Source organism: Homo sapiens, chromosome 3, assembly GCF_000001405.40.
Source record: "Homo sapiens chromosome 3, GRCh38.p14 Primary Assembly".
Lineage (NCBI taxonomy): Eukaryota > Metazoa > Chordata > Mammalia > Primates > Hominidae > Homo > Homo sapiens.
Window position 1 is genome coordinate 4,979,431 of NC_000003.12, and position 27,265 is coordinate 5,006,695.

Genomic DNA, 27,265 nt, shown 5'->3' on the forward strand with positions numbered 1-27,265 from the left:
CTTCTCATTCACTTGGCTCGCACGGCGCAGACAGACCGCGCAGGGAGCACACACCGCCAGTCTGTGCGCTGAGTCGGAGCCAGAGGCCGCGGGGACACCGGGCCATGCACGCCCCCAACTGAAGCTGCATCTCAAAGCCGAAGATTCCAGCAGCCCAGGGGATTTCAAAGAGCTCAGACTCAGAGGAACATCTGCGGAGAGACCCCCGAAGCCCTCTCCAGGGCAGTCCTCATCCAGACGCTCCGCTAGTGCAGACAGGAGCGCGCAGTGGCCCCGGCTCGCCGCGCCATGGAGCGGATCCCCAGCGCGCAACCACCCCCCGCCTGCCTGCCCAAAGCACCGGGACTGGAGCACGGAGACCTACCAGGGTAAGTTGGCACTCCTTGGCCCTTCAAGCCTCAACTGCAGCCCCATGTTATGCGCCACTCTCAACTTGGAGCAGCTCCGGGCGCACCGGGAGGTTCTTGCCCGGCAGAACGCCTGCAGCCGTGCGCAAGCAGTCACGACCCTTCCTGGTCTCTCTTCCTGCAGGATGTACCCTGCCCACATGTACCAAGTGTACAAGTCAAGACGGGGAATAAAGCGGAGCGAGGACAGCAAGGTAAGCAAGTGCACCCCTAGGGACCCTGCGCTCAGCCCCTCGCGCGCGCTGAGTTTCCAAGAAAAGTTTTCTCGCTTTGAGGTTGGCGAGGGGATGCAGGGTGTGGGCTCGGTGCCTCTTCTGAGTGACTTGGAAAAGAAAGGGCAGACGATGGTTCTGGGTGCTACTCTGCTACTCTGCTCCTCTGCCGGACTGTTGCTGCGGGGCTGGGAGGATAGGCTTCTCATCTCCTTCCCCAAGCGCCCACCGCCTCCCCGTGCGTCTTGCAGGAGACCTACAAATTGCCGCACCGGCTCATCGAGAAAAAGAGACGTGACCGGATTAACGAGTGCATCGCCCAGCTGAAGGATCTCCTACCCGAACATCTCAAACTTACAGTAAGTGAGAAGCTGGCCCCTTTCCAACCCAGTCCTTTGCCCAGAGGGCGGGCGGGTCACTCGCCGCCTGCAGGTTCCGCGGGGAACTGCAGACCAGACTGGCGGATCAGAGCTGGCGGGTGGCTCTGCGGTGGGGTCCTCCTCCACAGTCCTGGCGTTTTCTGGCTGACTCATGCAAATGAGGCGAGAACCACTTGGACCTCTCCAAGTTGGCTCCAACACCAACTGGCCTTCCTTTTCAGGAGTTTAACTTCTGGTGATTTTCAGGATTCCCTAGTTTTTCTCACTTAAAGGAACACGCCAAGAAACACACACATTTTATTTACCCCTTCCCCTCTACCACTCCCCCCACCTTTTTTGTTGTTGTTGTCAAATAAGGGGACTTGCTTTGGTGTGTGATTTTTACGGCCTGTCCTTTCTTGACAGTAGCCCTCGGCTACTTCGCAGCCTTTGGTTGGGGAAATGGAAAAAAAAAAAATAGTATTTCGGGAGGAACAAAAAAGCCTGGATGAGCTGGAAGTTCTGAAAGGGTGTAAGGAAAGAAGTAGGGAAAGCCTCTTGGCTGCCAGACGTAATAGAGGTCCCTCTCTGAGTTGACACCACTGCAGGAAAATGTTATCTCTGGATTCCCCTGAGTTAAGGTCGGCAGAGGCTGCTGGAGAAATTTATCTGTCAAAGGATTTTCCTGAGGTAGTTGCAGCTTCCAAAATGCCTCCAAAGACAGGTGGCACCCGTTTTTTTAAATTATTTAATTATATATATATATTATATATATATACACACACACACACACACACACACACACACACATATATGAGTGTATCTGTCTATCTTTTTAAAAGCATGACCTACAGACTTAAAACAGCCAACCAGGAAACACTATTCCACTTTTTTTTTTCTTTTCTCATTTCTCATTGCTAATAAATGTCCCAAAGGTGGGACTTCTCTGACCTCACCGCTGACTAAGGCTCTTTTCCTTCCAGACTTTGGGTCACTTGGAAAAAGCAGTGGTTCTTGAACTTACCTTGAAGCATGTGAAAGCACTAACAAACCTAATTGATCAGCAGCAGCAGAAAATCATTGCCCTGCAGAGTGGTTTACAAGCTGGTGAGTGCTGATTCTGGCTATGCTCTCTTTAAGAGTTTGAGTGCAAATAGAGAGCCCGTGGGCTCAACATCTGATGTAATAAACATTACTGCAACAAATTGCTTATGCACGTTCATTGGGGGAGATGCAGTTTTATCTTTCCTAAAAGGTCAGACTTTTCATTTGAAATGCATTGTGCCACCTGGCATGAATACGTATTAGTGAAATGATAAGATATTCCTGTGGCATTTTAGCTTGAGAGTCTCTGGGTTCTGGGAGATTTCCCTACTCCCTTTTAAAATGCCAAGGCACCTATAATTTGCATTGTGGGTGTTTTACAGTTGGTCTTCTTAGCCCTCTTTCATTGGAGAAGAAATCATGGGTATGCCCCAGCGTTTTCCTGTTTCTTTGCTTCCTTGTCACTTGGTGTGTGGTGTGATCCTGGCAGGATACAGCAGGAGTTTTTCCTGCATTTCATGTGGTTCCCTGAATAGCCACTAGGTATCTTGGTGAATTGCACAATCTAGCGAAACCACTGAAGTTTCATCATTCGTTTCTACTGACTTCCAGATAATCGGAGTCAACCTTCTAACCTTCTAGTCTCACTTCTTCCAAATAATACTGTACAGACTGGGGAGAATTATTCTACCCACTCCCTCATTTCATGCTTGTCTGCCTTCCTCTCGAAGGCTCGTATGATGAAAATTGCAAAAACCCAGCTAGTGCTTCTGCCTGTTTCCTCATTCAAAATAGGAAGATGGTCATACCTAATGTCTTGAGGATCATGGATAGAATATGTGGAGAAGACATAGAAATAGCCTAATTAAAGGTCACAGCATGACTGCAACTTTTACAAATCATTGAAAATAAGTTTACTTTAGGTGATTGTTGTTTCTTCATTCTTTTCCTCATTTTATAACTATCCAGCCTCTGCCCATTTTGCCACGGTGCAATGTTGTATGCATTGACTCTTAGGTTTATAAATACATCAGAATGTTCTTTGCTGCCTCGCTTACATGGAAAACTCACAAACCACCTATACAATCCAAAAGAGGGGAAACAGCTCATCTCATATTAATTATGGTCCATTTCCATGATAGGATATTATGCAACCATTAAAAATCATATTTTATCTGAGTGTTAGTATATGGATTATTTTAATTATTTATACTTTTCAGTGTAATTCTTCTCTGAGCATACTACTTTTGGAGTTAGGAACACAAATCAGTAAATGCATTTTTTTTTTTAACAAAAACTAAAGCACCTGGTTTTTTGGAGTATAGTTTCCAGGTGCGCCACAGGCCTTCTGAAACGTTTTCCTTCGGATTTTTCTTTCCCCAGGTGAGCTGTCAGGGAGAAATGTCGAAACAGGTCAAGAGATGTTCTGCTCAGGTTTCCAGACATGTGCCCGGGAGGTGCTTCAGTATCTGGCCAAGCACGAGAACACTCGGGACCTGAAGTCTTCGCAGCTTGTCACCCACCTCCACCGGGTGGTCTCGGAGCTGCTGCAGGGTGGTACCTCCAGGAAGCCATCAGACCCAGCTCCCAAAGTGATGGACTTCAAGGAAAAACCCAGCTCTCCGGCCAAAGGTTCGGAAGGTCCTGGGAAAAACTGCGTGCCAGTCATCCAGCGGACTTTCGCTCACTCGAGTGGGGAGCAGAGCGGCAGCGACACGGACACAGACAGTGGCTATGGAGGAGAATCGGAGAAGGGCGACTTGCGCAGTGAGCAGCCGTGCTTCAAAAGTGACCACGGACGCAGGTTCACGATGGGAGAAAGGATCGGCGCAATTAAGCAAGAGTCCGAAGAACCCCCCACAAAAAAGAACCGGATGCAGCTTTCGGATGATGAAGGCCATTTCACTAGCAGTGACCTGATCAGCTCCCCGTTCCTGGGCCCACACCCACACCAGCCTCCTTTCTGCCTGCCCTTCTACCTGATCCCACCTTCAGCGACTGCCTACCTGCCCATGCTGGAGAAGTGCTGGTATCCCACCTCAGTGCCAGTGCTATACCCAGGCCTCAACGCCTCTGCCGCAGCCCTCTCTAGCTTCATGAACCCAGACAAGATCTCGGCTCCCTTGCTCATGCCCCAGAGACTCCCTTCTCCCTTGCCAGCTCATCCGTCCGTCGACTCTTCTGTCTTGCTCCAAGCTCTGAAGCCAATCCCCCCTTTAAACTTAGAAACCAAAGACTAAACTCTCTAGGGGATCCTGCTGCTTTGCTTTCCTTCCTCGCTACTTCCTAAAAAGCAACAAAAAAGTTTTTGTGAATGCTGCAAGATTGTTGCATTGTGTATACTGAGATAATCTGAGGCATGGAGAGCAGATTCAGGGTGTGTGTGTGTGTGTGTGTGTGTGTATGTGCGTGTGCGTGCACATGTGTGCCTGCGTGTTGGTATAGGACTTTAAAGCTCCTTTTGGCATAGGGAAGTCACGAAGGATTGCTTGACATCAGGAGACTTGGGGGGGATTGTAGCAGACGTCTGGGCTTTTCCCCACCCAGAGAATAGCCCCCTTCGATACACATCAGCTGGATTTTCAAAAGCTTCAAAGTCTTGGTCTGTGAGTCACTCTTCAGTTTGGGAGCTGGGTCTGTGGCTTTGATCAGAAGGTACTTTCAAAAGAGGGCTTTCCAGGGCTCAGCTCCCAACCAGCTGTTAGGACCCCACCCTTTTGCCTTTATTGTCGACGTGACTCACCAGACGTCGGGGAGAGAGAGCAGTCAGACCGAGCTTTCTGCTAACATGGGGAGGTAGCAGGCACTGGCATAGCACGGTAGTGGTTTGGGGAGGTTTCCGCAGGTCTGCTCCCCACCCCTGCCTCGGAAGAATAAAGAGAATGTAGTTCCCTACTCAGGCTTTCGTAGTGATTAGCTTACTAAGGAACTGAAAATGGGCCCCTTGTACAAGCTGAGCTGCCCCGGAGGGAGGGAGGAGTTCCCTGGGCTTCTGGCACCTGTTTCTAGGCCTAACCATTAGTACTTACTGTGCAGGGAACCAAACCAAGGTCTGAGAAATGCGGACACCCCGAGCGAGCACCCCAAAGTGCACAAAGCTGAGTAAAAAGCTGCCCCCTTCAAACAGAACTAGACTCAGTTTTCAATTCCATCCTAAAACTCCTTTTAACCAAGCTTAGCTTCTCAAAGGCCTAACCAAGCCTTGGCACCGCCAGATCCTTTCTGTAGGCTAATTCCTCTTGCCCAACGGCATATGGAGTGTCCTTATTGCTAAAAAGGATTCCGTCTCCTTCAAAGAAGTTTTATTTTTGGTCCAGAGTACTTGTTTTCCCGATGTGTCCAGCCAGCTCCGCAGCAGCTTTTCAAAATGCACTATGCCTGATTGCTGATCGTGTTTTAACTTTTTCTTTTCCTGTTTTTATTTTGGTATTAAGTCGTTGCCTTTATTTGTAAAGCTGTTATAAATATATATTATATAAATATATTAAAAAGGAAAATGTTTCAGATGTTTATTTGTATAATTACTTGATTCACACAGTGAGAAAAAATGAATGTATTCCTGTTTTTGAAGAGAAGAATAATTTTTTTTTTCTCTAGGGAGAGGTACAGTGTTTATATTTTGGAGCCTTCCTGAAGGTGTAAAATTGTAAATATTTTTATCTATGAGTAAATGTTAAGTAGTTGTTTTAAAATACTTAATAAAATAATTCTTTTCCTGTGGAAGAGAAAGATGGTCTCCTGAGTTTTTTAAAATAGCTCACTTGGTGTGATATGGCTGACTCCCATGTCCTTCTTTCTTGGCTGAAGCAAACCAGTTAATCTCAGTGTAATTTCATTCAGCTTTTCATGTGCTTTGTATTCAATCAGAATAAGCTTAGTCAACCTGGCAGGTAAATATTGGTTCAATTTTTGTTTAACCCTTGCCAGGGGTTCATGATCATCCTCTACCTCTTTCCAGAGTTAAGTAAAAAGCATATTTTCCCCTGCCTGCTTTCATCGTGGTCCTTGGAACTTGACAGAAAACCAAGGTATGACACCGTGGGCAGCAGTGTCTGGGGAGCCTGCTGGAGGGAGAGGCACATTGAGAAAAGATTTACTGGATTATTATGCAATACTAATTGATGCTAGGATAGCACCTCTTTGCCAAAGCAGTCTAGCTTTTTCAAATCTAGCAAGGTCTAATGGATTTGCCATATCCTGTCTTATTCCTGCTGGAGGCAACATTCCATAATTATTTTCTACATCCTTCCTGGACTTCCTCTCCGGTATGTTTGTGCGTGAATGCATATTGGGTGTTCCTTCGACAAGTGCTCTTATTTAAAAAAAAAAAAAAAAAATTCCATGGGAAAGGTGGGAAATGACCCTGTCGTGTATTTTTGCCTCTCTCCTTTGCCTTGATTTGCAACATTCCTGTGGGATACTCCCTGTCAGAGGTGTCCTGATGTTTCCTGATGGCCAGCGCCTGACTCAACACGCTCCGGCTCCCAAAGCATCCCAGTCTGCCAGGACTCCCTGGTTGTCTGGAGTACAGCAGGGAAGCTGCCCCTAGGGATTTCTTAGCCAGGCAGAGGCTCCACCTGACCATGAAGACTGTTTGCTTCACATGTCACCTTCCCTGTCTCCTGATGGGCCAGCAGGTGAAAGTGAGCATTGTCTGCTTGTGCTGGATGCATATGGAATGCACGTAACTGTCCCCAGGCCACAGGCTGTTGTGCAAGGAGCCGGGACCAGGAGGTGGAAGCCTGGCATCAATAGCTGGTGGTCTATCACCTCCCTCTCCACGCCTGCTTTTGACTAGATAAAATAAGAATTCCGAGCCCTTCTCACAAGTCCCAGAGCAGGCAGATGGCAAATTCTGTAAGCCACTCTTTCTCCCAGCCCAACGCCTGGGCTTCCAGGTCTCATGCCTGTGAAACACCTCAATTGCTCCATGAGTTGCCAGACCTCTCTAGCTAGACTTTTTTGGAAAAAACCCAACAAATCAAACTTACCCTGGTGATATAGCCGGGGGTTGAAAAATCAAGACCAAACTCTTTTTGCATAACCCTCTCTTTTTCCCAGGCCACTGCAGGAGGAGTAGCTTTGGGGAAAGGAGGAAGTGGTTGGAGCAACCTGAACTAAAAAAAAAGATTTGAGGGTTCCACACACAGTCAACCCAGAATCCCGCTATGGGAACCTGCCCCTGTCAAACAGCGCCTCAAGTTGCAGCTGTCCCTCCACTTCATTTTTTGCTTCCAGCTCGCCCTTAACCTCTCTTCTAGCCCAGTTCTAGCGGCATCCAAATGCGCTCAGAGGGAGGTGCGGGGGAGGGGCGCGCACCCCAGCCTAATGCCCACTGCGGACAAAGAGGACTTCTGTTTAAAAAGCGGGGTGTGTGAGTGTCAGGGGGCGAAGCGCTGGCTCCGGGGCCAAGGAGAGGTGGCAGGAGGCAGGGGAGCGGAGGCTGGGCATCTGGCCGCCTTCAGACAGGGCGTGATCCGCCGGGCCTGCCGGGATGGTCTCACCCAGCGCTGACCTGCCCCGCCTGTTGACACAACGTCACGTTTCCGACTGCAGCCCTTTCATGTGCGGCCCGCGGCTAAAAGCGGCTGCCGGTTCCTGGAAGCAGACGTGCCTGGCACCGCGTCAGCAGAAACCTGATCCCCGGGGAAGCTCGGCAAGGCCTTGGGATCGCTCGGCCCCCAGAACTAGGGCCTGGCAGCGGGCACGGGACGCCCCCCCTCCCTCGCGCCCAGCAGGAGGGAATTCGAGCGCTCCCCGTCGGCGGTGGGGAGGGAGGACTGGGTGGGGTAGGGAGCTGGATTTAGGCAGAGCACGGGGACCAGGGCTTAATTGACTAGAAGCTAGAAGCTTCCCACGGGTCATCGCTCACTAATGCACGTCAAACAACCTAGAAGTATCATTATGGGTACTATTACAATTCACATTTTGTAGATAAATAAAAGCAGGCTCAGAGAGGAGAGGTAACTAGCCCGAGGTCACACAGCTTCTGAGGGGGCTAAACCTTTTGTAGGATGGTGGATCTGTTGGTTTGTGGGTCCCTTAATTGGATCCAAGGAGAAGGCTTTCACAGAGCCGAGTTGTTAATGACTATAATAGTACAAATATGGATATTTATTACTAAGAATAATTACAGCAAATGTGTTTGTGGCATTTACTATTTGCCAGGCACTCTGCAAAGTGCTCTACATACAATAACTTCTTTATCACTGCAAGGCCATGAAGTAGGTAAATTAGTATACAGTTAATGAACTGTAGGCACAGAGAGGTTAAGTAATTTGCTCAAAGTCACACAGCTCCATTGATGACTTGTAAGTTAAACCTAGGAAATTTGGCTGCAAAGTTTATGTGCTTAACTATAAAACCACACTGCCCTTCTAGTTAAGTTAATAATAGTAAAAGTAGTAATAATTACAATTATTACTATCCTGTTTTGAGTACTTTCTTTGTGCCAGGTATCAACCACGTCATGTGAATCGCCTCTACTTATAGCAACTGTGAAGGGTAGATATTAATATGCCCCTTTTTTAAGTAAAAAAAATTTTAAACATGCTCATTTTACAAATGAGGAAACTGGAGTTCAAAGAGGGGAAATGCCTTATCTGAGGTGACACGACACCTAAGGGACAAAGCCATCCTTTTTTCTGGTATGGAACTGCTTCTACGCTGAGCTCCTGTCATGTTGGGCTTTGATACACATTATCTCATTTAATCCTCCAAATAGCCCTGCGGAATAGGTACTATGATGCTCAGCCTGTGGCTGAGATAACCAACCTCAGAATAAAGTTATTTGCCCAAGTCTTTATTTGTTCCTTACCGATGTCCCCACACACCATCTCACAGCGAAGAATGGGCCCATCCTCTGGTTAGAGAAACTAACCCAGCATGACTATCAAGGACTATGGGGGGGGCGGTGGGGGGGCACCCTATAGGTTGACTGTGCGAAGAACCAGAATCTGGGCTTGAAGCAACTATACCAAAGTATTGTGGGCCAGGCACGGTGGCTCATGCCTGTAATCCCAGCACTTTGGGAGGCCTAGGTGGGAGGATCACTTGAGGCTGGGAGTTTGAGACCAGCCTGGGCAACATGGCGAAATCCCATCTCTACAAAAAATACAAAAATTAGCCAGGCGTGGTGGTGCATGCCTGTGGTCCCAGCTACTTGGGAGGCTGAGGTGGGAGGATCACTTGAGCCCAGGAGGCAGAGTTGCAGTGAGCATGATTGCGCCACTGCACTCCAGCCAGGTGACAGAGAGAGACCCTGTTTAAAAAAAAAAAAAAAGTATTCTGCGGGGAAGGGGAGAGATTCCTTTTCTTATGTCTCTCCTAAGATTAGGAAAGGTGTAGGCCTAGGGGACTAGCGAGGTATGAACCCCCTGGGGCAGGGCAGTTCTGCTGGAGGGAGGGAGAGAAGGAGGGAGGCAGAGACTGAGTTCCAAGCTCTCTCTCTGGAAGGGAGCCTCTGCAGGCTCAGAGACCAGGCCACCGCAGCTCCTGTCCCTCTCAGATTTCTTCGGCCCACCCACACCCTAGCCTGTCTCTCCCCTTTGGCCACCACCCCAGTACTTGGTTTGTGAGGGGTATATAAGAGGCTGCCTCGCTTTGTGGAACAGGGCCAGGATCTCAGGTTAGAGAGGAGACAGCATGTGTTGAGTTCCCACATGGTTTCATATGAAGACTGTGTGTTAACGGGATCGGCATGTTCTCCTGAGACCCAGCATTCCCTGAGGTGTCTGCCACGTGGCGTGGAGGGAGGGAAGGCTCCAGGTTTCTCACCCTTCATCAGCAGGAACAGCTTCCTTTTCGTGTCTTACCACTGTAATCGTTTGTTTGAACAAGAGTTTTATTGCTGAAAAGACATCACAAACAAGTTTTGAAGGCCACCAATGACAGCCCCTTCCTCAAGCACTGCCTTCACCTCACTGGCCTCTTTCCCTAGGATCCAGAGGGAGGCTGAGGCCATTCAAAGCCACCCCAACACACACCCCACCCAGCACCACCCCCTGTTTATCCCCAGCCATCTGTTTGGCCCGACAACCACAGCAGAACATGAGCCGGGTGAAGCCTCTCCCATTGGCCATGGAAGCCACTGACATGCTCGTCTCGCGGCTGGGCCATCCAGTCTTGTGATGTGGCTGGATTTGGGCCCAGAAGGTTTCTTCCACTATAGATGGGGCCCTCCCTTCCCTGGGGATTCTCAGCAAAGATGTGGAGGTGGGACATGAGGGTGTCACAAGGCTGCTGGGTAGGGGTGCCAGCCTCAGGCTGGGACCAAAGGAAGTAGGGCAACCAGCCTCTGCTCACCCTAAGTCCTGGCCCTGTTCTCCCACGCCCACACCCACCTTTGAGGAGGCAAAAGGGAATAAACTTGTGCTTATTTGTTGGAAGAGCAAATATGTTTTTTTGAAACCGAATTATGGATGGGGATGTGGGGGTGGGAACTAGGCAAGGGTCTCAGGGGAATCCAAGCAGGAGAAGAAGGAGGGAAAAACCACTCTCTTCTCAGATGGAAAAAAAAAAAACAAAACAAAACAACTGTTTCTTAAAGTTTTAAATAAAATATCTAATATTTTATATCTCTTTTACTGTGGAGAATTTAAAACATATTCAAAAGTAGAAACAACAATAGATGTTTCTCCAAAGAAGATATACAAATGGCCAACAAGTGCATAAAAATATGTTCAATGTCATTAGTCATCAGGGAAATGCAAATCAAAACCACAGTGAGATACCACTTCACACCCTCTAGGATGGGTATGATATTAATAATAATAACAACAAAACAATGGAAAATAACAAAGGTTGTCGAGGATGTGGAGAAGTCTGAAGCTTTTGTATATTGCCAGTGGGAATGTGAAATGATGAAACTACCATAGAAAAAAGTTCGGCATTTCCTCAAAAAGTTAAATATAGAATTACCATATTACCCAATGCCATTTCTAAGAGTTATATACCCAAAAGAATTGAAAACAGGAACGCAAACAAATATATGGACACATGTGTTCATAGCACTGTTCACAAGAGTCAAAAGGTGGAAACAACCTAAATGTCAATCAACAGATAAATGGATAAACAAATTGTGGTGTATACATACAATGAGGTATTATAGAGCCGCAAAAAATTAATAAAGTACTGGTATATGCTACAACACGGATGAATCTCAAAAACATTATGCTAAGTGAAAGAAGGCTGGCAAAAAGTCACGTTACACGGTTCCACTCATATGAAATATACAGAATAAATAAATCCATAGAGACACAATACAGACTGATGGTTGCCAAGGGATGAGGGAGGGAGACAATGGGAATAAAACGGGTACAGGGATTTCACTTTGGAGTGATAGAAATATTTTGGAACTAGGCATGGGGGGTTGCATAGCATTGTGAATGTAATACATGGCATAGACTTATTCACTTTAAAATGGTTAATTATATGTAGATTTCACCTCAATAAATTTTCTTTTAAGTAGATAGAATAGCATAATGAACCCTCCACTTATCAGTCTCCCAGCTTCATTAGTCATTAATTCATGCCCAAGTCAGTTTCATCTGTAATATATACCCATCCACTTCCCCTGCTCATGTATTATTTTGAAGCAAATCCAGATATCATATAATTTCATTTGTAAATATTTCTAAAATATTTAGTATATATCTCTAAAAGATAAGTGTTATAAAATTACTATAATATTATCATACCTAAAAATATTTAACAGTATAAAAAGGCAATTTTTTAGACTAGTTCTCTAAATAAGAATATAGATTGTTTTCAAAATTAAAAAATATAAAAAGTGATCAGAGGCCGGGTGCGGTGGCTCATGCCTGTGATCCCAGCACTTTGGGAGGCCAAGGAGGACAGATCACAAGGTCAGGAGTTTGAGACCAGCCTGGCCAATATGGTGAAACCCAGTCTCTACTAAAAATACAACAATTAGCCAGGCATGGTGGTGGGCGCCTGTAGTCCCAGCTACTCGGGAGGCTGAGGCAGGAGAATCAGTTGAACCCGAGAGGAGGAGGTTGCAGTGAGCCGAGATCGCGCCATTACACTCCAGCCTGGGTGAGAGCAAGACTCCGTCTCAAAAAAGAAAAAAAAAAAAAAGTGATCTGAAAAAAGAAATTGTTCCCTGTCCCTATCCATCATCCTGGTCTCTATGCCTTCACCAAACTCACCCACAAGCAGGCAAGTAGGCACTATTTTAACTACTTTAGAGTTTATTGGCCAGGCATGTTGGTTCATACCTGTATTCTCAGCACTTTGGAAGGCCAAGGTGGGAGGATCACTTGAGCCCAAGAGTTCAAGACCAGTCTGGGCAACATGGCAAGATCCCATCTCCACAAACGATTAAAAACTTACGAGGGTGTGGTGGTGCATGCCTGTAACCCCAGCTACTCAGGAGGCTGAGGTGGGAGGATAGTTTGAGCCTAGGTTGCAGTGAGCCATGATCGTTGCTACTGCACTCCAGCCTGGGTGACAGAGTGAGATCCTGTCTCAAAAAATAATAATAATGTTTTTTAAAATAGAGTTTATTTAGGCATGTGCATATAAATATGGATGTGGGCTGTCATTTGTCCCCTTTTTCCACACAAAAATAGCATGCTGTTCACACTCTTCTGCACTTAGTATGTCTTGAGGAGCTGTCCACGTGAATACATAGAAAGGCTTTTAATTCTTTTTCACAACTGTGCGTATCTCATTGTATAGATGTCCTATAATTTACTTGACTAGTTCCCTATTATGAACATCTGGATTATTTTTTATCTTTTGCTATCACCAGCAGGGTTGCAATGAGTAATTTTATACACAGGTCATTTTGCAAGCGTATAACAGTATTTATGGGGTAAACTCCCACATGGAATTGCTGGGTCAATGTCATGAGCATCTGTCATTCTGATGGGTATCATTCCGTGGGACACAGGTCATACTCCTTTAGAACCCAACGTTGTTGCCTGTCTTGGAGGCATTTGCAAGAGATGTCGGAAAGCTTAGAATATGTATATCTTGAGACCAAATGATTCCACTTCTAGGAGTTATCCTAAATACGATTTTTAAAATTAATTAATTTTTAAATAAAAAATAGAGACAGGGTTTTGCTATGTTGACCAGGCTGGTCTCCAGCTCCTGACCTCAAGCAATCCTCTTGTCTTGGCCTCCCAAAGTGCTGGGATTATAGGCCCGAGCCACCATGCACAGCCAAGAAGTTATTAAACAGGTTTTCAAAGACTAAGCTACAAGATTGGACGTCCTGTGCCATTCATAGGTAAAACAAACAAGGAGGAAAGAAGGGAGGGACAGAGGGAAGGAGAGAATAAGGAAATCAGAAAGATGGCTGAGAAGGAGACTGGTTGAGTAACTTACAGTATGTGCAAGTGCTGGAATGCTAAATAGTCATGAAAAATTATGTTAGGAAAGTAAATTGATTATTGTTTATTTGTTGTAAAGGGAGGAAAAGTAGGCCACAAAATAGTATGTTCAGACTTATCCCATTTTTGAAAAAGAATAATATGTGTGCTTCTAAATGTTCTCTCTGCCTCACTTTGAACAACTGTAAAATGAGGACAATAGTAATTGGCCTACTGAGTTGTGAGGATTAAATGAGTTTCAATGTCTAAGATGCTTAGAACAGTGTCTAGCACAGAGAAAGCTCCATGTCAGGGTTAGCTAAAATTAGTGTTATTGTTATTATTTTTTAGTAATTGTATTATAGTTACAGAGGAAAAAGGTCTGGCAGGCAATACAATAAAATTTTAACCACCTTAGCAGGATTTAGAATTATTGGTTATTGTTCCTTTAAGAATTTTTGCTTTTCTATATTTTCTTTTTTTTTTATTTTACAATGAACATGGTATTTCTGTAATATAGATCATGAAGTGCAACAGAATAAGTGGAGTGGGGGACAAGAATGGAGTTCAAGGTTGTCATGGACATCTGTATCCAGCAGTCCCAGGGGATGATGTGGAAAGGAGAGGCAGGATGCTTTTTTGGTTTTGCCAGCTCAGCCCTGGGCAGGGCCAGCCCTACACCCTGGGAAGAAGGCAACTCCCTTCAAAGGGTGAGTGGAAGATCTAGAGAAAGCTCTCCCTACCCACATGCACATAGGAGCTTTTAACAAGGACCTTAACAATTAGAGAGATGACAAAAGTTTCAAAACAGGTGCAAAGACACTCAATAGGCTGTGAGGGTCCTGGGATGGGGGCTCTAACTCATTCACTGCAGCGCTCCCAGTGCCTAGCTTGAAACAAAGCTGAAATTCAGTCAGTGTTTCCTGAATGAACAAGTGAATCTAGACTCTGCTGTGTGACCTTGGGAAAGTTCTTTCACCTTCCTGAATCTGTTTCCTTATCCATCAAATGGGGATATTAGTGATCTTGTAGAGATTGCCGTGAGGATGAAAAGAAATCCTTATGTAGAATATACAGCATCTAGCTACAGTCAGGTATGTGGTAGGTGCTCAAGCATTTGCTGATTAAATGAATGAAAGGAGCCTGGGCAACATAGCAAAAACTCTGTCTCTACAAATAAAAATTAAAACATTAGCCAGTCATGGTGATACGGACCTGTAGTCCCAGCTACTCAGGAGGCTAAGGTGGGAGGATCTTAGCCTGCAGTGAGCCATGACCACGCCACTGTACTCCAGCCAAGGTGACAGAGTGAGGCCCCATCTCAAAATAAAACTTTAATTTAATTTAAAAATAAAAGAAAATAAAAAAATAAATGAAAAGAAAGAATGACATTTATAGGAACATATTCACTCTAAAGTGTAAGTAACTGACATAACATTATTTCCTGAAAGATGCTTTGTAGAGGGAAAAGCTGAAAGAGATCTCATACACACACACACACACACACACATATATATACACACACACATATATATATGTCTGTGTGTATGAGATCTCTCTGATATATATATATATATCAGACTGTGTGCTAAGTACTGTACTAGGCACTATGCATACATTATCTGGTGCAATCTCCATTTTTACATTTACAGAAATTGAGACTCAGTGAGATTAAGTGACTCACCCAAGGTCACACAGCAAGCAGATGGCACAGACAGGATTTAACTCAACATATGACTCAAAAGTCCTTGCTGAAAGAGCCCAGGATGTCAAAATGGACAGAGGCATGAGGAGGGAAGAGGGTCAGAGATAAGCTTCCCACTCTGTGCACACTGCTGAATTACCCATTAGGTAGACCTAGTGTGTGCTGAAAACACTGGGAAAGCAGCCCCAGCTTCCTTCCATCTCCCCAAAATTGGAAAATAATTTCTTTTTGATATTTCAAAGAAAAACATGGAGATCATCTTATGATTAAAATCAAGGGCTTATTGGGGTTTCTCTAAATTTATTTTAAGCTTTGTGTTTTCAGTTTGCACTTCGTATGGGGAGGAAGGATCAAAATGCTCATGTCTCAGGACCTTAGGGCTTAATTGCCCTGGGGCTTAGAGCCTCTCTAGACCTTATCCAGCAAGGTGACGCTAGCTCTCCAGAGTCTGAGTGGGAGGCAGCATGGACACCCACCTGGCCCCTGCTTCCCCTGGGGCTCACGTGGCTGTGTGAGGGGTGTTTCTTAGGGCAGTGGCCTCAGCTCCCCTGACCCGTGGCTTCTCACAGTCTGCCTTTCAGACAAGGCGCTCACTGTCCCAGCATGTTCCAAGCCACCGGCTCAAGTCCCAGCCAGCCCAGGCCTGTTGCAATGAGTCAGCCTTTCACTGGGGAAAAACGTGGTGACTGGCCTCCAAGTCATTTTTTCCAGCTTGGCCCTTGTCCTGGGCTGGGTTTGGGGAGACCTTCATTTTTCCCTTTGGGATTCGGCTGCCTACGAGGTATTCCCAAGGGTCCCTAGGAAGCAAGGGGGCTGGAATTCCTTTGGGGCAGGTTGAGTTGCTGCAGTTCAGCCAAATGAGGGTCCCTCAAGGTGCCCACCTGGTCTCGCTCCACCTCCCCCTGCTCATATAAGCAAAAGTAGAGGCCACAGAGGGTAAGTTCTTATGGCCCTTACGGTTGTGCCCAGTCATGGGGAGGAGGATAAGAAGAGGAGTTATAAAATAAAGTCCACCTTTGGCATCTTTCACAGGCCATGCTAGCGCAGCAACCTCAGGTACCTGGAGCTTGAGGCACACTTGGCCTCTTATCAACTAGTGGTGCCTTCCTGAAAGATGATGCTCCCTTGGGCCCCTTGAATTTTAAAGCAAGCACCATTACCTTCGGTGAACCTTCCTGCCCCCAGCTCTATGCCAGGGTTCCGGTTTCAGAGCTATTCGCCTTACCATCCCTTCTGACTCACCTCTGGCTTCCCAGGGCTTCGTGAGGCCTCCCCTGCATGGCCAGGCTGATGTGGATTCTCCCTAGTGTGACTGGGTGGGAGGGAGGAAGAGGCAATGACCATTAGTCAAAGGGTGGTGAGGGTGCGTGAGGGCAGGGCTTTGGCCCTCACGGATCCCGCAGTAAATTCACTCTCTCCGGAGGAAACATTGACCTCACTGCTGCTGAAGCCCTTACTTAGAACTTCCTATTCATTTTTGCAATTAGCAAAGATTAACCTCTCAATAATTCATTCATTCAGGGCACAGATAGTTATTGGTACCTTTACATGCCAGGTACTGGGCTTTGGGGCTACAATAGTGCACAGAAGAGTCATGCTCCTGTTTCCTGAAGCCGATAGTCTGAGAGGGACACAGATAGCAACCTGATAATTACACAGATAGATACCAACAATCCAGTATCAATATGCAAGAAGAGCACAGAAGAGCAGACAACAGTGCCTGGAGTGGTCTGGGGTGTTCAGGGAAGGTTTGCCTGAAATAGACGGGTAAGTGGGAGTTGTCTGGTTGAGATGGGGGTCCTGACCCCAAGTACCTAGATAGTGACCTTATTTGGAAATAGGGTTTTTTACAGAGATAATCAAGTTAACATGAGGTCATTAGGGTAGGCCCTAATCTTGACTGGTATTCTTATCAAAAGGGGAAATTTGGACACAGAGACAGACATGCGCACAGGAAGAATGTCACGTGAAGATGAAAGCAGACATCAGGGGGATGCTGGCTGCTTACAAGCCATGGAATGCCGAAGATAGTGAGCCGACACCAGGAGCTAGGAGAGAAGCCTAGAACTGACGCTCCCTCACGGCCTCCAAGGAACCAAATCTGCTGACACCTTGATTTTGAATTTTTAGCTTCCAGAACTTGAGATCACACATTTCTGTTGTTTAACCCACCCCAGCTGTGGTCTTTTGTCAAGGTAGCCGTAGCAGACAAACTCAGTTTTCCAGCAGAGGAAACTGCACATGCAAAAGCCCTGGAAGTGAGGGCAGGGGAGGCGGGTTTGAGAAAAGAGGCCACCCTGGCTGAAATGCAGAGTCAAAAATTCCTTCATCCAGACTGACAGGGAAGCAGATCAGTGTGGGCACCTCAGGCGACTATTAAAATAGCAATAAAAATAACTACCTCGAAGGTGTGTAGAGTGTACCAGATAAGCCTGGGGAGGCAGGAAGTGACTAGAGCTATGCAGGGGCTTCCCTGTAGGGGTAGAAGTGGAGCCTTTAACCTTAAGACAGAGGAGAAGCTAGCAGGGTACGCAGGCGACCTAGAGCCTCGTTTGAGGTGTGTGACTTTGGGAAAATGGCCGTCTGTCTCTGTGCCTTAGTTCTTCGATCTCTTCCCTTATCTGGGACATTCTGTGACCATATGACTAGCAGTGTGCTCTGTGTTGCTGTCTCCTGTGTGGTGAGCCGGTGCGAAGGAAGAGAAAAGAATGAAAATAGCATTGGACACAGTTGTGGATCTTATGGAACTTATAGTCTAGTTGGGGAAATGACATTCATTCGGGCCAGTGCACAATGGAAGTGCTAAGTGTGTGAAGTGGACAATGTCAGACATTCTGAAGGGCTAAAGTGGTGGCTTCCCTCATGGGGGGTCTCGAAGTCTAGTGGGACCCCAGATACAATTTCTCGTTGTTTTTTTTTTTTTTTTTTTTTTGAGACAGAGTCTCACTCTGTCCCCCAGGCTGGAGGGCGGTGGCGCGATCTCGGCTCACTGCAAGCTCCGCCTCCCGGGTTCACGCCATTCTCCTGCCTCAGCCTCCCGAGTAGCTGGGACTACAGGCGCCCGCCACCACGCCAGGCTAATTTTTTTTTTTTTTTTTTAAGTAGAGACGGGGTTTCACAGTGTTAGCCAGGCTGGTCTCGATCTCCTGAACTCGTGATCCGCCTGCCCCGGCCTCCCAAAGTGCTGGGATTACAGGCTTGAGCCACTGCGCCCGGCCCCAGATACAATTTCGATGCTGTACATCTCCACCCGCCCCACCACTCCATAATTAATAGGTCTGGGGATGGGTGGGGGTTAACACGTGACCTAAGCTGGGCCAATCAGAATCTTTCCCTGGATTTTTTGGTCAGGAGCTAAGGAAGAAAATGCAGTTTCTCTCTTGGTGGCTATGTTTGCTGCTACATAGAGGGGGCTGACTTGAGGGAATGGAGCTGACAGGCTGCCCAGAGAAGACAAGAGGGAAGGAGAGAGAGAGAGAGAGGGAGGGAGGGAGGGAAGGAAGGTGGGAGGGGAGAGGGAGAGAGAGAGAGAGAGAGTGCGAGCGAGCCCCTTGGCTGCCCTGGCCCTGCTGCATCTCCGCGTTTCCCCTGGGCTTACTGGAGATACCCTACCCGCACATTCTTCACCCTGCATTTATCAGTTTCCCCTAGGCTAGTTGGAGAGGAGTTTCTGTCACCTAGAGTCCTAGGAGTTCTGATTCACACAGGGATCCCCCGTGTCAACCTCAGCCACTGTTTGTGAGTGAGGTGATGAGACCCTGCTCTTGGCCCTAGTGTGTGCTATTGTGTCAGGGACCAAGGAGCTGTCCCTGCCCTCTTAGGAAACCCTTCATGGAGCCGAAGGCCATCTTCACTCTTTATAGTACCGGAGGCGCCTGAGTCTTCACCATGCCTCTGTGAGCCTGGCGGCATTTGTTTCACTTTGCAAACCCTGCAAGTCAGGAATTAAATCTCCCCCACCCTAGTCTTACAGTTGAGGAAACTGAGGCTCAGAGGAGGAGAAATGCCTTTGTATCTAAGTGGCAGAGCCTTTTTTGGGTGTCACAGTCCTTAAGATGGTACACGTGAAACAGCAGCCCAAGCCCTGATCAGGGGAAAAAGTAATCATCCTTCATTCATGAATTCATCAGTGAACATTTCCCTACAAAAAAAGAAGAGAAATTATCAAAGGTTTGTGCAGAGCCTGAAGTGTGAATTCAGGAAGGCAAACACAACCTTTTATCTCTATAAGCCCAGAAATCACTATACACACAATGTCAGGCATAAGTTAGGTGCTTAAGATATGTTTGCTGAAAAAGAATAAGAACAATATCTTAGTTACTGAGTGGTCACTATGTGCCAGGCACTATTTTAAGTGATTCGTGGGTATTCACTGAGGTAACCCTCACCCAGCCTTGTAAGGTTGGCACTATTATGCCTGACTGATTGATTGATTGAGACAGGGTCTCACTCTGTCACCCAGGCTGGAGTGCAGTGGCATGATCATAGCTCACTGCAGCCTCAAATTCCTGGGCTCAAGCAATCCTCTCACCTCAGCCTCCCGAGTGGCTGGAACTGCCTGGCTAATTTTTTATTTTCTATTTTTTGTAGAGACAGGATTCAGTATGTTACCAGGACTGGTCTCAAACTCCTGGGCTCAAGTGATCATCTCATCTCGCCCTCCCAAAGTGCTGGGATTATAGGCATGAGCCACTGCCTCCAGCCTGTCATGCCCATTTTAGAGATGAGAGGGCTACAGCTGAGTAACTTCTCTGAGCTCACACAGCTAGTAAATGTCAGAGGGACCTCCAGCCTTCTGGCCTCAAGTGCGTTCCTGACCTTAGACTGTATTGCCTATCTTCAAATGATTGAATGAATGAATGAAAGCACATCTGCTAGCTACAGGACTACACATACACATATATTTCAGGAGAGCTTTCACCGGAGAGAGCTACAGGGTTGTGAAGCCTGGAGAAATTTAAGCTCCAGAAAATTCTCCAAGGAAGTAGGATGCCGTGAGCCTTAAATCTGTGTGGGACTTTTGAATGTGAAAAAAGATATGCACATTTAGTTCTGGAATATCCATATACTCAAATCAACATAATAATTGCTTTCGTGAACTGAGAGCTTTCTCTGTGCTCCACACCCTGCCTACTTATCTTTGAATCTTCCTGCCCTCTCTGTGTTAGGGTGTCAAAGGCCTGTCTAATCACTCTCCTAAACTGCTCTCCCCTCATCCCCTGCAGTCCACAGGAAGGTCAGCCTCGTGGGGTGTTCTTTGCAAAGCCACAGAATCTTCCCTTGATAATGACCAAGTTTCCAAGGCAAAAATTGACACGTGCTTATGGCATCCACAGGCCCAAAGAGTTGAGGCCAGAGGGACCAAAAGTCTGGGATCTGAGTTGGCCAAGATCCAGGCTTGGAACAGAGCCAAGGATGCAGGTGGACAGGCCTCGGGGCAGATGACAAAGCTAGGAGAATGCTCTTTACCTGCTTTTGCTGGAGGGCTAGATTTTACTATCTCCACTGAAGATCTTGAGAGCACCCATTTCACCCTGGGGCAGGGACGGGCTGCATGTTAGCTTTGAGGCCAGGCCAACCACAAGACAAGAAAAGACACATCCCAACTTGAAAGGGCTGCCGAAGACCAGGGCAGCTGAGCAGAGCTTCATGCCCCCCCAGTGAATCTGGCTGCATCAAGTTCAGGCAGGTGCAGGGTAGGATGGAGCACTGCCTGCAGGCTCAAGGGGGATCTTAGTTGCCAATGGGAGATTTGATTGGTATTTATTTTCCATACATCTTCATCTTTTAGGAGAACAAATTCTGGGATCTTTTGGGGAGTCCTAGGGATAAAAGTCCTTAAGGGAGAAAAATGCCCCATAAAAATGCATCCTCACTCCTAGACGTATTATTTTTTATATAAAAATTTCTTTCTTTATTAAAAAGAGATGAGGTCTCACTATATTGGCCAGGGTGATCTCAAATTCCTGGGCTCAAGCAATCCTCCTGCCTCAGCCTTCCAAAGTGTTGGGATCACAGGTGTGAGCTGCTGCACCCTGCCCCTAGACACATTAGAACTTTAATAAGTTTGGAGCATTTTATTTGCTGCTGGAATTATGCTAAGCACTTTATATACATGACCTTGTTTAATCCTCAGGATACCCTAGTATAGAGATGATGACTCTCCTTATTATATGCCCCAGGGAAACAGAGGCTCAGAGACCTTCTCAAGGTCACACAGCTAGTAAGTGTCAGAGCCAGGAGTCCAACCCAGGCCTGACTTCAAGTTCCTTGCCCTTAACCACAGTACTATGTTAGGTCCTTTTTAGACACACATGTTCACAAAAACCTAGATGTTTTGCTTGCATCTGTTTATCCAGCAAACATGTATTAAGTACCTACTATGTGACAGGCCCTGTTTTAGAAGCTGGGGATATAGGAAGGCATAAATAAAACAGACAAAAACCCCTGCCTTCAGTGAAATCAAAATAACATTAAAAGGCAAAGATTATTGTCTCCCATTTTATAGCTGAAGCAACTGAGGTAGGTATTCCTTTTCGTCAGCTTACCCCTCAGATTCATTTATTCATGTGTTTTGTTGTTATCGTTGCTCAGCAAATATTCCTTGATAACTTACTAGGGCTCAGGTACTGTTTTAGGTGCTGAGGTCCCAGTGGGGACCCAAATAGATGCAGTCCCTGCCCTCGTGGAATTCGCAGTCTCTTCAGATTGTGCCTGTGTGTCTTCCTAACCTGTAGCTGCTGCTCAGGGCACATGAACAAGCAGTACTGACTTGTGTCCCCAGGAAGCTGATGCTTTTCCTCAGACAGGCCCAAAGCAGAAGGGGCAAGTGCAGCGGTGTGCCAAACAACAAAGTCAGCACAAGTATTTGGAATCATAGGTGCCCTCTGCTCTCTCCATATGGTGATCCCTGCCCCAAGATGTGTTAGAACACACTCTAGGGTAAATGTCAGTAGGCTCTGTGGGGCGTGGTGCTTCACACCTGTAATCCCAGTACTTTGGGAGGCTGAGGTGGGAGGATCAAGTGAGCCCAGGATGTCAAGGCTGCAGTGAGCCATGATCATGCCACTGCACATGCAGCTTGGGTGACAAAGTGAGACCCCCTATCTCTAAAAAGGTCAGTGCCTCTGGGTGTTAATTAGCTGTGTGGCTTTGAGCCAGTGAAGCTCTCCAAGCTTCACTTTCCTCAGCCATAAAATGGAAATTGAAGCACTTTTCTTGCTTGACTATTTCCAAGAATGAGATGAATTCAAATGAAATAATGGCTATGTGAATATTTAATTTCCTAATCCGTAGATATTATTTCGGTGTCTTCCAGGTCCAGGTCTTCATTTCCTGTTACCTATTACCACAGTGCCTCAAAACGGCTGTTATAAACTCATTCACAAAAAGGTATAAGTAACAGATGATATTTCAAGTCTTGCCTCTCCCAGGCCTAAAGACTTTCTTATAAGAAAAAAAAACCTGTGGAAGGGAACTTTGGATTCTGGCCAAATAGAGTAACAGGTACCAGATTTACCCTCCCATCTGAAACAATTAAAAAGAACCTTAACTGTGTCCTAGACAAAGTTCAATGGCTTTTAGAAGAGTACAAACATATCCAATGCTCAGCAAGATAAAGTTCCCAATGTCTACCATGTAATCAAAAGAATTCCCAGTGGAAGTGCCTTGGACTGGAATATGAGCTCCCTGAGGCAAGAGATTTTTATCTGTTTCATTCTCTGCTATATCTTCAGTTCCTAGAAGAGTGTCTGACACATAGTAGGCACGCAATAACGATTCGTTGACTAATGAATGAATGAATAGGGGTGTCAGACATCAGTGAGGATAATGGGAGGTGCTATTCTGTCCAAGGGTCTCTCCCAGAGCCCCAGAAATCACCTGGCACTTAAGGCCTGCCTGACTGATAAATTCCCCAAGTCAGCCCAAGCATGGAGGATGAGACCCTCTAAAGAGTGACAGCCTTTAGGGGAGGGAGACATCTACAAGCCCTGTCACGAGCCCTGTCATCACCTCGGGAGGAAAAGGAAAGCTTGTTACTCATTGATAACAATCGCTGTGAACGACTCCTCCACACGGCACCCCTCCCCACCCCCTACCTTCCAGCCCTGGCCTGTTTACTGGAAGACGCGACCCTGTTTTCTACATCCTGAGCGATGACAGATTTCATCACTGGCTTAAGGCAAGACAGAGAAGCTGGGTGTCAGGCCCTGGTGATAAGTCATGTCAGATTTTGGGTGGTTGTGGTAGTGGTGGTGGGGGCAACTGTAGCCGTTACCACACAGGTTTATGCCTCAGTCTGCTCATTCATTTGTTAATCCTTTTATCGCGTACATATTAATTCGGGTCAGGCCTTGTGCGTGGGGGCTCCAGACACAAGACAAAAATGACAAAAATGAAAATGACGGGGATTAAAACGAATTGCAAAAGCCACCATTTTCTGAATGATTCCTTCAGAAGGCAACATGCTGGTGTGGCTAGGAACGTAGTTCTGAGCAAGACACCTGGGTTCCCAGTCTCCGCTCTGCTTCTTCACAGCAGTGTGACTCTGGGCAAGGTACCTAACCTCTCTGAGCCTCCATGTTCTCATCTCTAAAATGGGGCAGTTGTGATTAAATGAGTTAACCCATTTAAAGCATGTAGAACGCTATTTGCTATTTCTTTGCTTGAAGTCGTATTAAATACTTTACAGCCTCAGTCAGAAGAGGGGAATTGTATCATGGTTAAGAGCTCTGAGTTGGAACTTGGACACCCACTTACTGCGTGACTTTGAGCAGGTAACTTACCTTCTCTGAACCTTAGTTTCCTCATCTGGGAAGTAATGCAAAGTAAATTCCACAAGCGTAGGGAATTCTCTTTTGTTCACTCCTGTCTCTACAGTGCCTTAAACAGCACCTGGCCAAGAGTAGATGCTAATGCAGTAATCAGGACCAGTTATGTAATTTGTGGGACCCAGCGCAAATGAAAATGCAGGGCCCTTGTTTTAAAAATTAAGAATTTCGGGCTAGGCACGGTGGCTTACGCCTGTAATCCCAGCACTTTGGGAGGCCGAGGCGGGTGGATCACAAGGTCAGGAGTTTGAGACTAGCCTGGCCAACATGGTGAAACCCCGTCTCTACTAAAAATACAAAAATTAGCCGGGCATGGTGGCATGCACCTGTAGTCCCAGCTACTTGGGAGGCTAGGGCAGGAGAATCGCTTGAACCCGGGAGATGGAGGTTGCAGGAGCCAAGATAGTGCCACTTCATTCCAGCCTGGGCAACAGAGTGAGACTCCGTCTCAAAAAAAAAAAAAAAAAAAAAAGAAAATTATTAAGAATTTCGGCCGGGCTCAGTGGCTCACACCTGTAATCCCAGGACTTTGGGAGGCTGAGGCAGGTGGATTACCTGAGGTTGGGAGTTTGAGACCAGCCTGCCAACATGGAAAAAACCCATTTCTACTAAAAATACAAAATTAGCTGGGCATGGTGGCGCATGCCTGTAATCTCGGCTACTCGGGAGGCTGAGGTAGGAGAATCGCTTTGAACCCAGGAGGTGGAGGTTGTGGTGAGTTGAGATCATGCCATTGCACTCCAGCCTGGGCAACAAGAGCAAAACTCTATCTCAAAAAAAAAAAAAAAAAAGAATTTCAAGAGAGCAATGATGGAGAATTAAACCAAACGTGGGGCCCTTCTAAGTGTGGGGTGGCCCTCTGTGACTGCATAGGCCACATGCCCATGAAGCTGGCTCTGATCACAATACTCCCCCACATTGTTGTTATGAGGAGAAAGTGAGTTAAAGTGTGTAGGGCAAGTGGCACATACCTGGCCCAGAGTAGACTCTCAATGCTAACTGATATTATTCTTATCATATTTAATGTTCACTGACAGCCCTGTGAGAGCACATAGGTATTATCCCACCTCACAGGTGAAGGACTAAATGACTTGCTCAGGCTGGGCACAGTGACTCACGCCTGTAATCTCAGCACTTTGGGAGGCCGAGGTGGGAGGATTGCTTGACCCCAGGAGTTCGAGAGCAGCCTGGGCAACATAGCAAGACCCCATCTCTACCAAACCAAACCAAACAAAATAAAACCCAGTTTGCTCACTGCCCTACTGTTTATGGGAGGTACAGGCAGGATTTGAACCCAGGTCAGCTGACGTGTGAGAGAAGGGTGGGTGGAGGAAGGGAGAAGGCCCAGAAGCCTCGCAGGTAGCTGGTAGGGAGGTGTTTGGGGTTTGGACAGCTGCTCCCTCCTTTAGGGCTGACTGTCCCATCAGGAGGGGGTTGTTTCTGTTGCTCAGTGGGGAATCTGCAGGCCTCGACAGGCTCTGAGCTGGGAAACAGGAGTGGCCCTGCCTGTCCTATGACACACTGTGAGTGGAGGGGGCTGTGGCCGGCAGGGACGTAGGGGAGTCACACCTGCTGAAGCCCAGCTCAGAGTCAGGACTGGGACCAAAGGGGCAGAGCCCAGGCTGGCCATGGAGGTCCGAAGTGAGGGATTAAACTCCAGCGTGGCAGCCTCTGCCACTGACAGCCCCAGCTCTTCCCGTGGCCCCAAAGGCTGGTGTGTCCCTGTCCCACCGGTTGCCTCATCTCCCTCCCTCCCATGCTCCTGCCTGCTCACCTCACTCCCACTGGCCTCCCTGAACCTCCTGAAAACCAACCAAGTTCTCTCCCCACACAAGGCCTTTGCTGTTGGTGTTGCCCCTGCTGTAAACGACCTTTCCCCAGCTCCTTCACACTCATCAAATCCTAGCTTCAGTGTCACCTCCCTTAAAAAGCCTTCCCTTGGCTGGGCATGGTGGCTCATGACTATAATCTCAGCACTTTGGGAAGCCGAGGTAGGAGGATCACTTGAGCCCAGGAGTTTGAGACCAGCCTGGGAAACACAGAGAGATCCCATCTCTACAAAAAATAAAGATTTTTAAAAAGGCTTCCCTTCTCTTCCTTTCTAAAGCACTGTCATGTTCTCACTTCTTCCACATCTCCCTGCAATGCCTGTTTTCTATTCCAATCTGCAATTCCCTTCCTTATTGACTTGCTGTGTGTTCATCACCTGACTCCCTTCAGTAGAACACACACAGATGAACCCTGACGGCGGGGGCCACGTGCAGGGCTCCATTTCTGTCATCTACAGCAGTGGCTGCCACACAGCAAGGACTCCATGAATACTTATTGAATCAGTGAGCGAATGAATAGCCAGCTGTACCATGTTGGAAAAATGACTTGTGGTCTTTGAATCTGTTTCCCCATCTCTAAAATGGGATTGGGATTCATGCCTCTTCTTTTTTTTTTTTTTTTTTTTTGAGACAGAGTCTCACTCTGTCGCCCAGGCTGGCGTGCAATGGCATCATCTCGGCTCACTGCAACCTCCACTTCCCGGGCTCAAGAGATTCTTCTGCCTCAGCCTCCCAGGTAGCTGGGATTACAGGCACCCACCACCATGCCCAGTTAATTTTTGTATTTTTAGTGGAGACGGGGTTTCACCATGTTGGCCAGGTTGGTCTCGAATGCCTGACCTCAAGTGATCTGCCTGCCTCAGCCTCCCAAAGGGCTGGGATTACAGGCATGCCTGGCCCCATGCCACTTCCTAAGGTGGATTACAATCATACAATCACGTTACCATATATTGAGGACTTACTGTGTTCCAGGCACTGTACTAGGTACATAAAACCTGGCATCTAGAAAGTGATCAGTTAATTTCAATATTCCCTATGTTACTACGATTGCTACTGCTAAACTCTATAGGTTGGAGACCCTGATTGAGGAGCTGAACCCTTGATCCTAAAATGCTCCCCTGCTCCCCGCACACCCAGAGGCTACCCCAAGGAAGAGAGACAATCCCAGAGGCTTGAAGCAAAGGGAACACGCTGGGAAAGAAAACTACTCTGAGGCAGGGTGCAGTGGCTCATGCCTGTAATCCCAGCAACTTGGGAGGCTGAGGTGGGCAGATTACTTGAGGCCAGGAGTTCGAGACCAGCCTTGGCGACATGGTGAAACCCCGACTCCACAAAAAATACAAAAATTAGCCGGGTGCAGTGGTGTGCACCTGTAGTTCCAGCTACTCAGGAGGCTGAGGCAGGAGAATCGCTTGACCCCGGATAGCAGAGATTGCAGTGAACCAAGATCATGTCACTGCACTCCAGCCTGGGTGACAGAGTGAGACCCTGTCTCAAAAAAAAAAAAAAGGAAAAGAAAAGAAAACAAAAGAAAAGAAA

The 27,265-nt window shown here is 47.0% G+C and overlaps 1 protein-coding gene and 1 long non-coding RNA gene across 4 annotated transcripts in view, besides 15 other annotated features; one reads left to right on the forward strand and one right to left on the reverse strand.

Annotated features, from left to right (window-relative positions):
• The window catches only part of BHLHE40-AS1 (BHLHE40 antisense RNA 1), an 83,153-nt gene extending 82,622 nt beyond the window's left edge, over positions 1-531 (reverse strand). For all 3 annotated transcript variants that reach the window (NR_125916.1, NR_037903.3, NR_125915.1), the window contains exon 1: positions 365-531. This is a non-coding gene — a long non-coding RNA (BHLHE40 antisense RNA 1). The remainder of the gene's footprint in view (positions 1-364) is intronic.
• On the forward strand, positions 7-5,893 carry BHLHE40 (basic helix-loop-helix family member e40). The gene is made up of 5 exons (NM_003670.3): positions 7-368; positions 532-601; positions 871-978; positions 1,962-2,085; positions 3,406-5,893. Exons 1-5 carry the CDS (start codon positions 289-291, stop codon positions 4,260-4,262), a joined length of 1,239 nt encoding a protein of 412 aa, NP_003661.1. The 5' UTR covers positions 7-288; the 3' UTR covers positions 4,263-5,893.
• Positions 139-288: an enhancer, noted in NCBI's record as "active region_19366". NCBI's record gives its function as "activates an Ori minimal core promoter by ATAC-STARR-seq in GM12878 lymphoblastoid cells {active_cell/tissue: GM12878}" and the evidence as "EXISTENCE:reporter gene assay evidence [ECO:0000049][PMID:35858748]".
• Positions 396-990: an enhancer, noted in NCBI's record as "H3K27ac hESC enhancer chr3:5021511-5022105 (GRCh37/hg19 assembly coordinates)". NCBI's record gives its function as "activates a minimal SCP1, AML or CMV promoter by ChIP-STARR-seq in primed H9 embryonic stem cells {active_cell/tissue: H9 hESC(primed)}" and the evidence as "EXISTENCE:reporter gene assay evidence [ECO:0000049][PMID:30033119]".
• Positions 3,320-3,879: an enhancer, noted in NCBI's record as "H3K27ac-H3K4me1 hESC enhancer chr3:5024435-5024994 (GRCh37/hg19 assembly coordinates)". NCBI's record gives its function as "activates a minimal SCP1, AML or CMV promoter by ChIP-STARR-seq in primed H9 embryonic stem cells {active_cell/tissue: H9 hESC(primed)}" and the evidence as "EXISTENCE:reporter gene assay evidence [ECO:0000049][PMID:30033119]".
• Positions 3,880-4,439: an enhancer, noted in NCBI's record as "H3K27ac-H3K4me1 hESC enhancer chr3:5024995-5025554 (GRCh37/hg19 assembly coordinates)". NCBI's record gives its function as "activates a minimal SCP1, AML or CMV promoter by ChIP-STARR-seq in primed H9 embryonic stem cells {active_cell/tissue: H9 hESC(primed)}" and the evidence as "EXISTENCE:reporter gene assay evidence [ECO:0000049][PMID:30033119]".
• Positions 4,300-4,349: an enhancer, noted in NCBI's record as "active region_19367". NCBI's record gives its function as "activates an Ori minimal core promoter by ATAC-STARR-seq in GM12878 lymphoblastoid cells {active_cell/tissue: GM12878}" and the evidence as "EXISTENCE:reporter gene assay evidence [ECO:0000049][PMID:35858748]".
• Positions 4,530-4,709: an enhancer, noted in NCBI's record as "active region_19368". NCBI's record gives its function as "activates an Ori minimal core promoter by ATAC-STARR-seq in GM12878 lymphoblastoid cells {active_cell/tissue: GM12878}" and the evidence as "EXISTENCE:reporter gene assay evidence [ECO:0000049][PMID:35858748]".
• Positions 5,140-5,199: an enhancer, noted in NCBI's record as "active region_19369". NCBI's record gives its function as "activates an Ori minimal core promoter by ATAC-STARR-seq in GM12878 lymphoblastoid cells {active_cell/tissue: GM12878}" and the evidence as "EXISTENCE:reporter gene assay evidence [ECO:0000049][PMID:35858748]".
• Positions 5,210-5,269: an enhancer, noted in NCBI's record as "active region_19370". NCBI's record gives its function as "activates an Ori minimal core promoter by ATAC-STARR-seq in GM12878 lymphoblastoid cells {active_cell/tissue: GM12878}" and the evidence as "EXISTENCE:reporter gene assay evidence [ECO:0000049][PMID:35858748]".
• Positions 6,258-7,155: an enhancer, noted in NCBI's record as "H3K27ac-H3K4me1 hESC enhancer chr3:5027373-5028270 (GRCh37/hg19 assembly coordinates)". NCBI's record gives its function as "activates a minimal SCP1, AML or CMV promoter by ChIP-STARR-seq in naive H9 embryonic stem cells {active_cell/tissue: H9 hESC(naive)}" and the evidence as "EXISTENCE:reporter gene assay evidence [ECO:0000049][PMID:30033119]".
• Positions 7,156-8,053: an enhancer, noted in NCBI's record as "H3K27ac-H3K4me1 hESC enhancer chr3:5028271-5029168 (GRCh37/hg19 assembly coordinates)". NCBI's record gives its function as "activates a minimal SCP1, AML or CMV promoter by ChIP-STARR-seq in naive H9 embryonic stem cells {active_cell/tissue: H9 hESC(naive)}" and the evidence as "EXISTENCE:reporter gene assay evidence [ECO:0000049][PMID:30033119]".
• Positions 9,671-10,171: an enhancer, noted in NCBI's record as "H3K4me1 hESC enhancer chr3:5030786-5031286 (GRCh37/hg19 assembly coordinates)". NCBI's record gives its function as "activates a minimal SCP1, AML or CMV promoter by ChIP-STARR-seq in primed H9 embryonic stem cells {active_cell/tissue: H9 hESC(primed)}" and the evidence as "EXISTENCE:reporter gene assay evidence [ECO:0000049][PMID:30033119]".
• Positions 15,141-15,837: an enhancer, noted in NCBI's record as "H3K27ac-H3K4me1 hESC enhancer chr3:5036256-5036952 (GRCh37/hg19 assembly coordinates)". NCBI's record gives its function as "activates a minimal SCP1, AML or CMV promoter by ChIP-STARR-seq in naive H9 embryonic stem cells {active_cell/tissue: H9 hESC(naive)}" and the evidence as "EXISTENCE:reporter gene assay evidence [ECO:0000049][PMID:30033119]".
• Positions 15,141-16,800: a biological region, named in NCBI's record as "P300/CBP strongly-dependent group 1 enhancer GRCh37_chr3:5036716-5037915".
• Positions 15,601-16,800: an enhancer, noted in NCBI's record as "P300/CBP strongly-dependent group 1 enhancer chr3:5036716-5037915 (GRCh37/hg19 assembly coordinates)". NCBI's record gives its function as "activates an origin of replication core promoter dependent on BRD2, BRD4, P300/CBP, MED14 and CDK7 cofactors, with strong dependence on P300/CBP, by STARR-seq in HCT116 cells {active_cell/tissue: HCT116}" and the evidence as "EXISTENCE:reporter gene assay evidence [ECO:0000049][PMID:35650434]".
• Positions 22,850-23,351: an enhancer, noted in NCBI's record as "H3K27ac hESC enhancer chr3:5043965-5044466 (GRCh37/hg19 assembly coordinates)". NCBI's record gives its function as "activates a minimal SCP1, AML or CMV promoter by ChIP-STARR-seq in primed H9 embryonic stem cells {active_cell/tissue: H9 hESC(primed)}" and the evidence as "EXISTENCE:reporter gene assay evidence [ECO:0000049][PMID:30033119]".

What these genes read in the sequence shown, in the direction of transcription:
- BHLHE40 (NM_003670.3), top strand. Translation starts at nt 289, where the DNA reads ATGGAGCGGATCCCCAGCGCGCAACCACCCCCCGCCTGCCTGCCCAAA. An exon ending in GAGCACGGAGACCTACCAGG is followed by an intron (nt 369 to 531) that starts GTAAGTTGGCAC and finishes CTCTTCCTGCAG; the next exon opens with GATGTACCCTGCCCACATGT. An exon ending in GCAGAGTGGTTTACAAGCTG is followed by an intron (nt 2,086 to 3,405) that starts GTGAGTGCTGAT and finishes TTCTTTCCCCAG; the next exon opens with GTGAGCTGTCAGGGAGAAAT.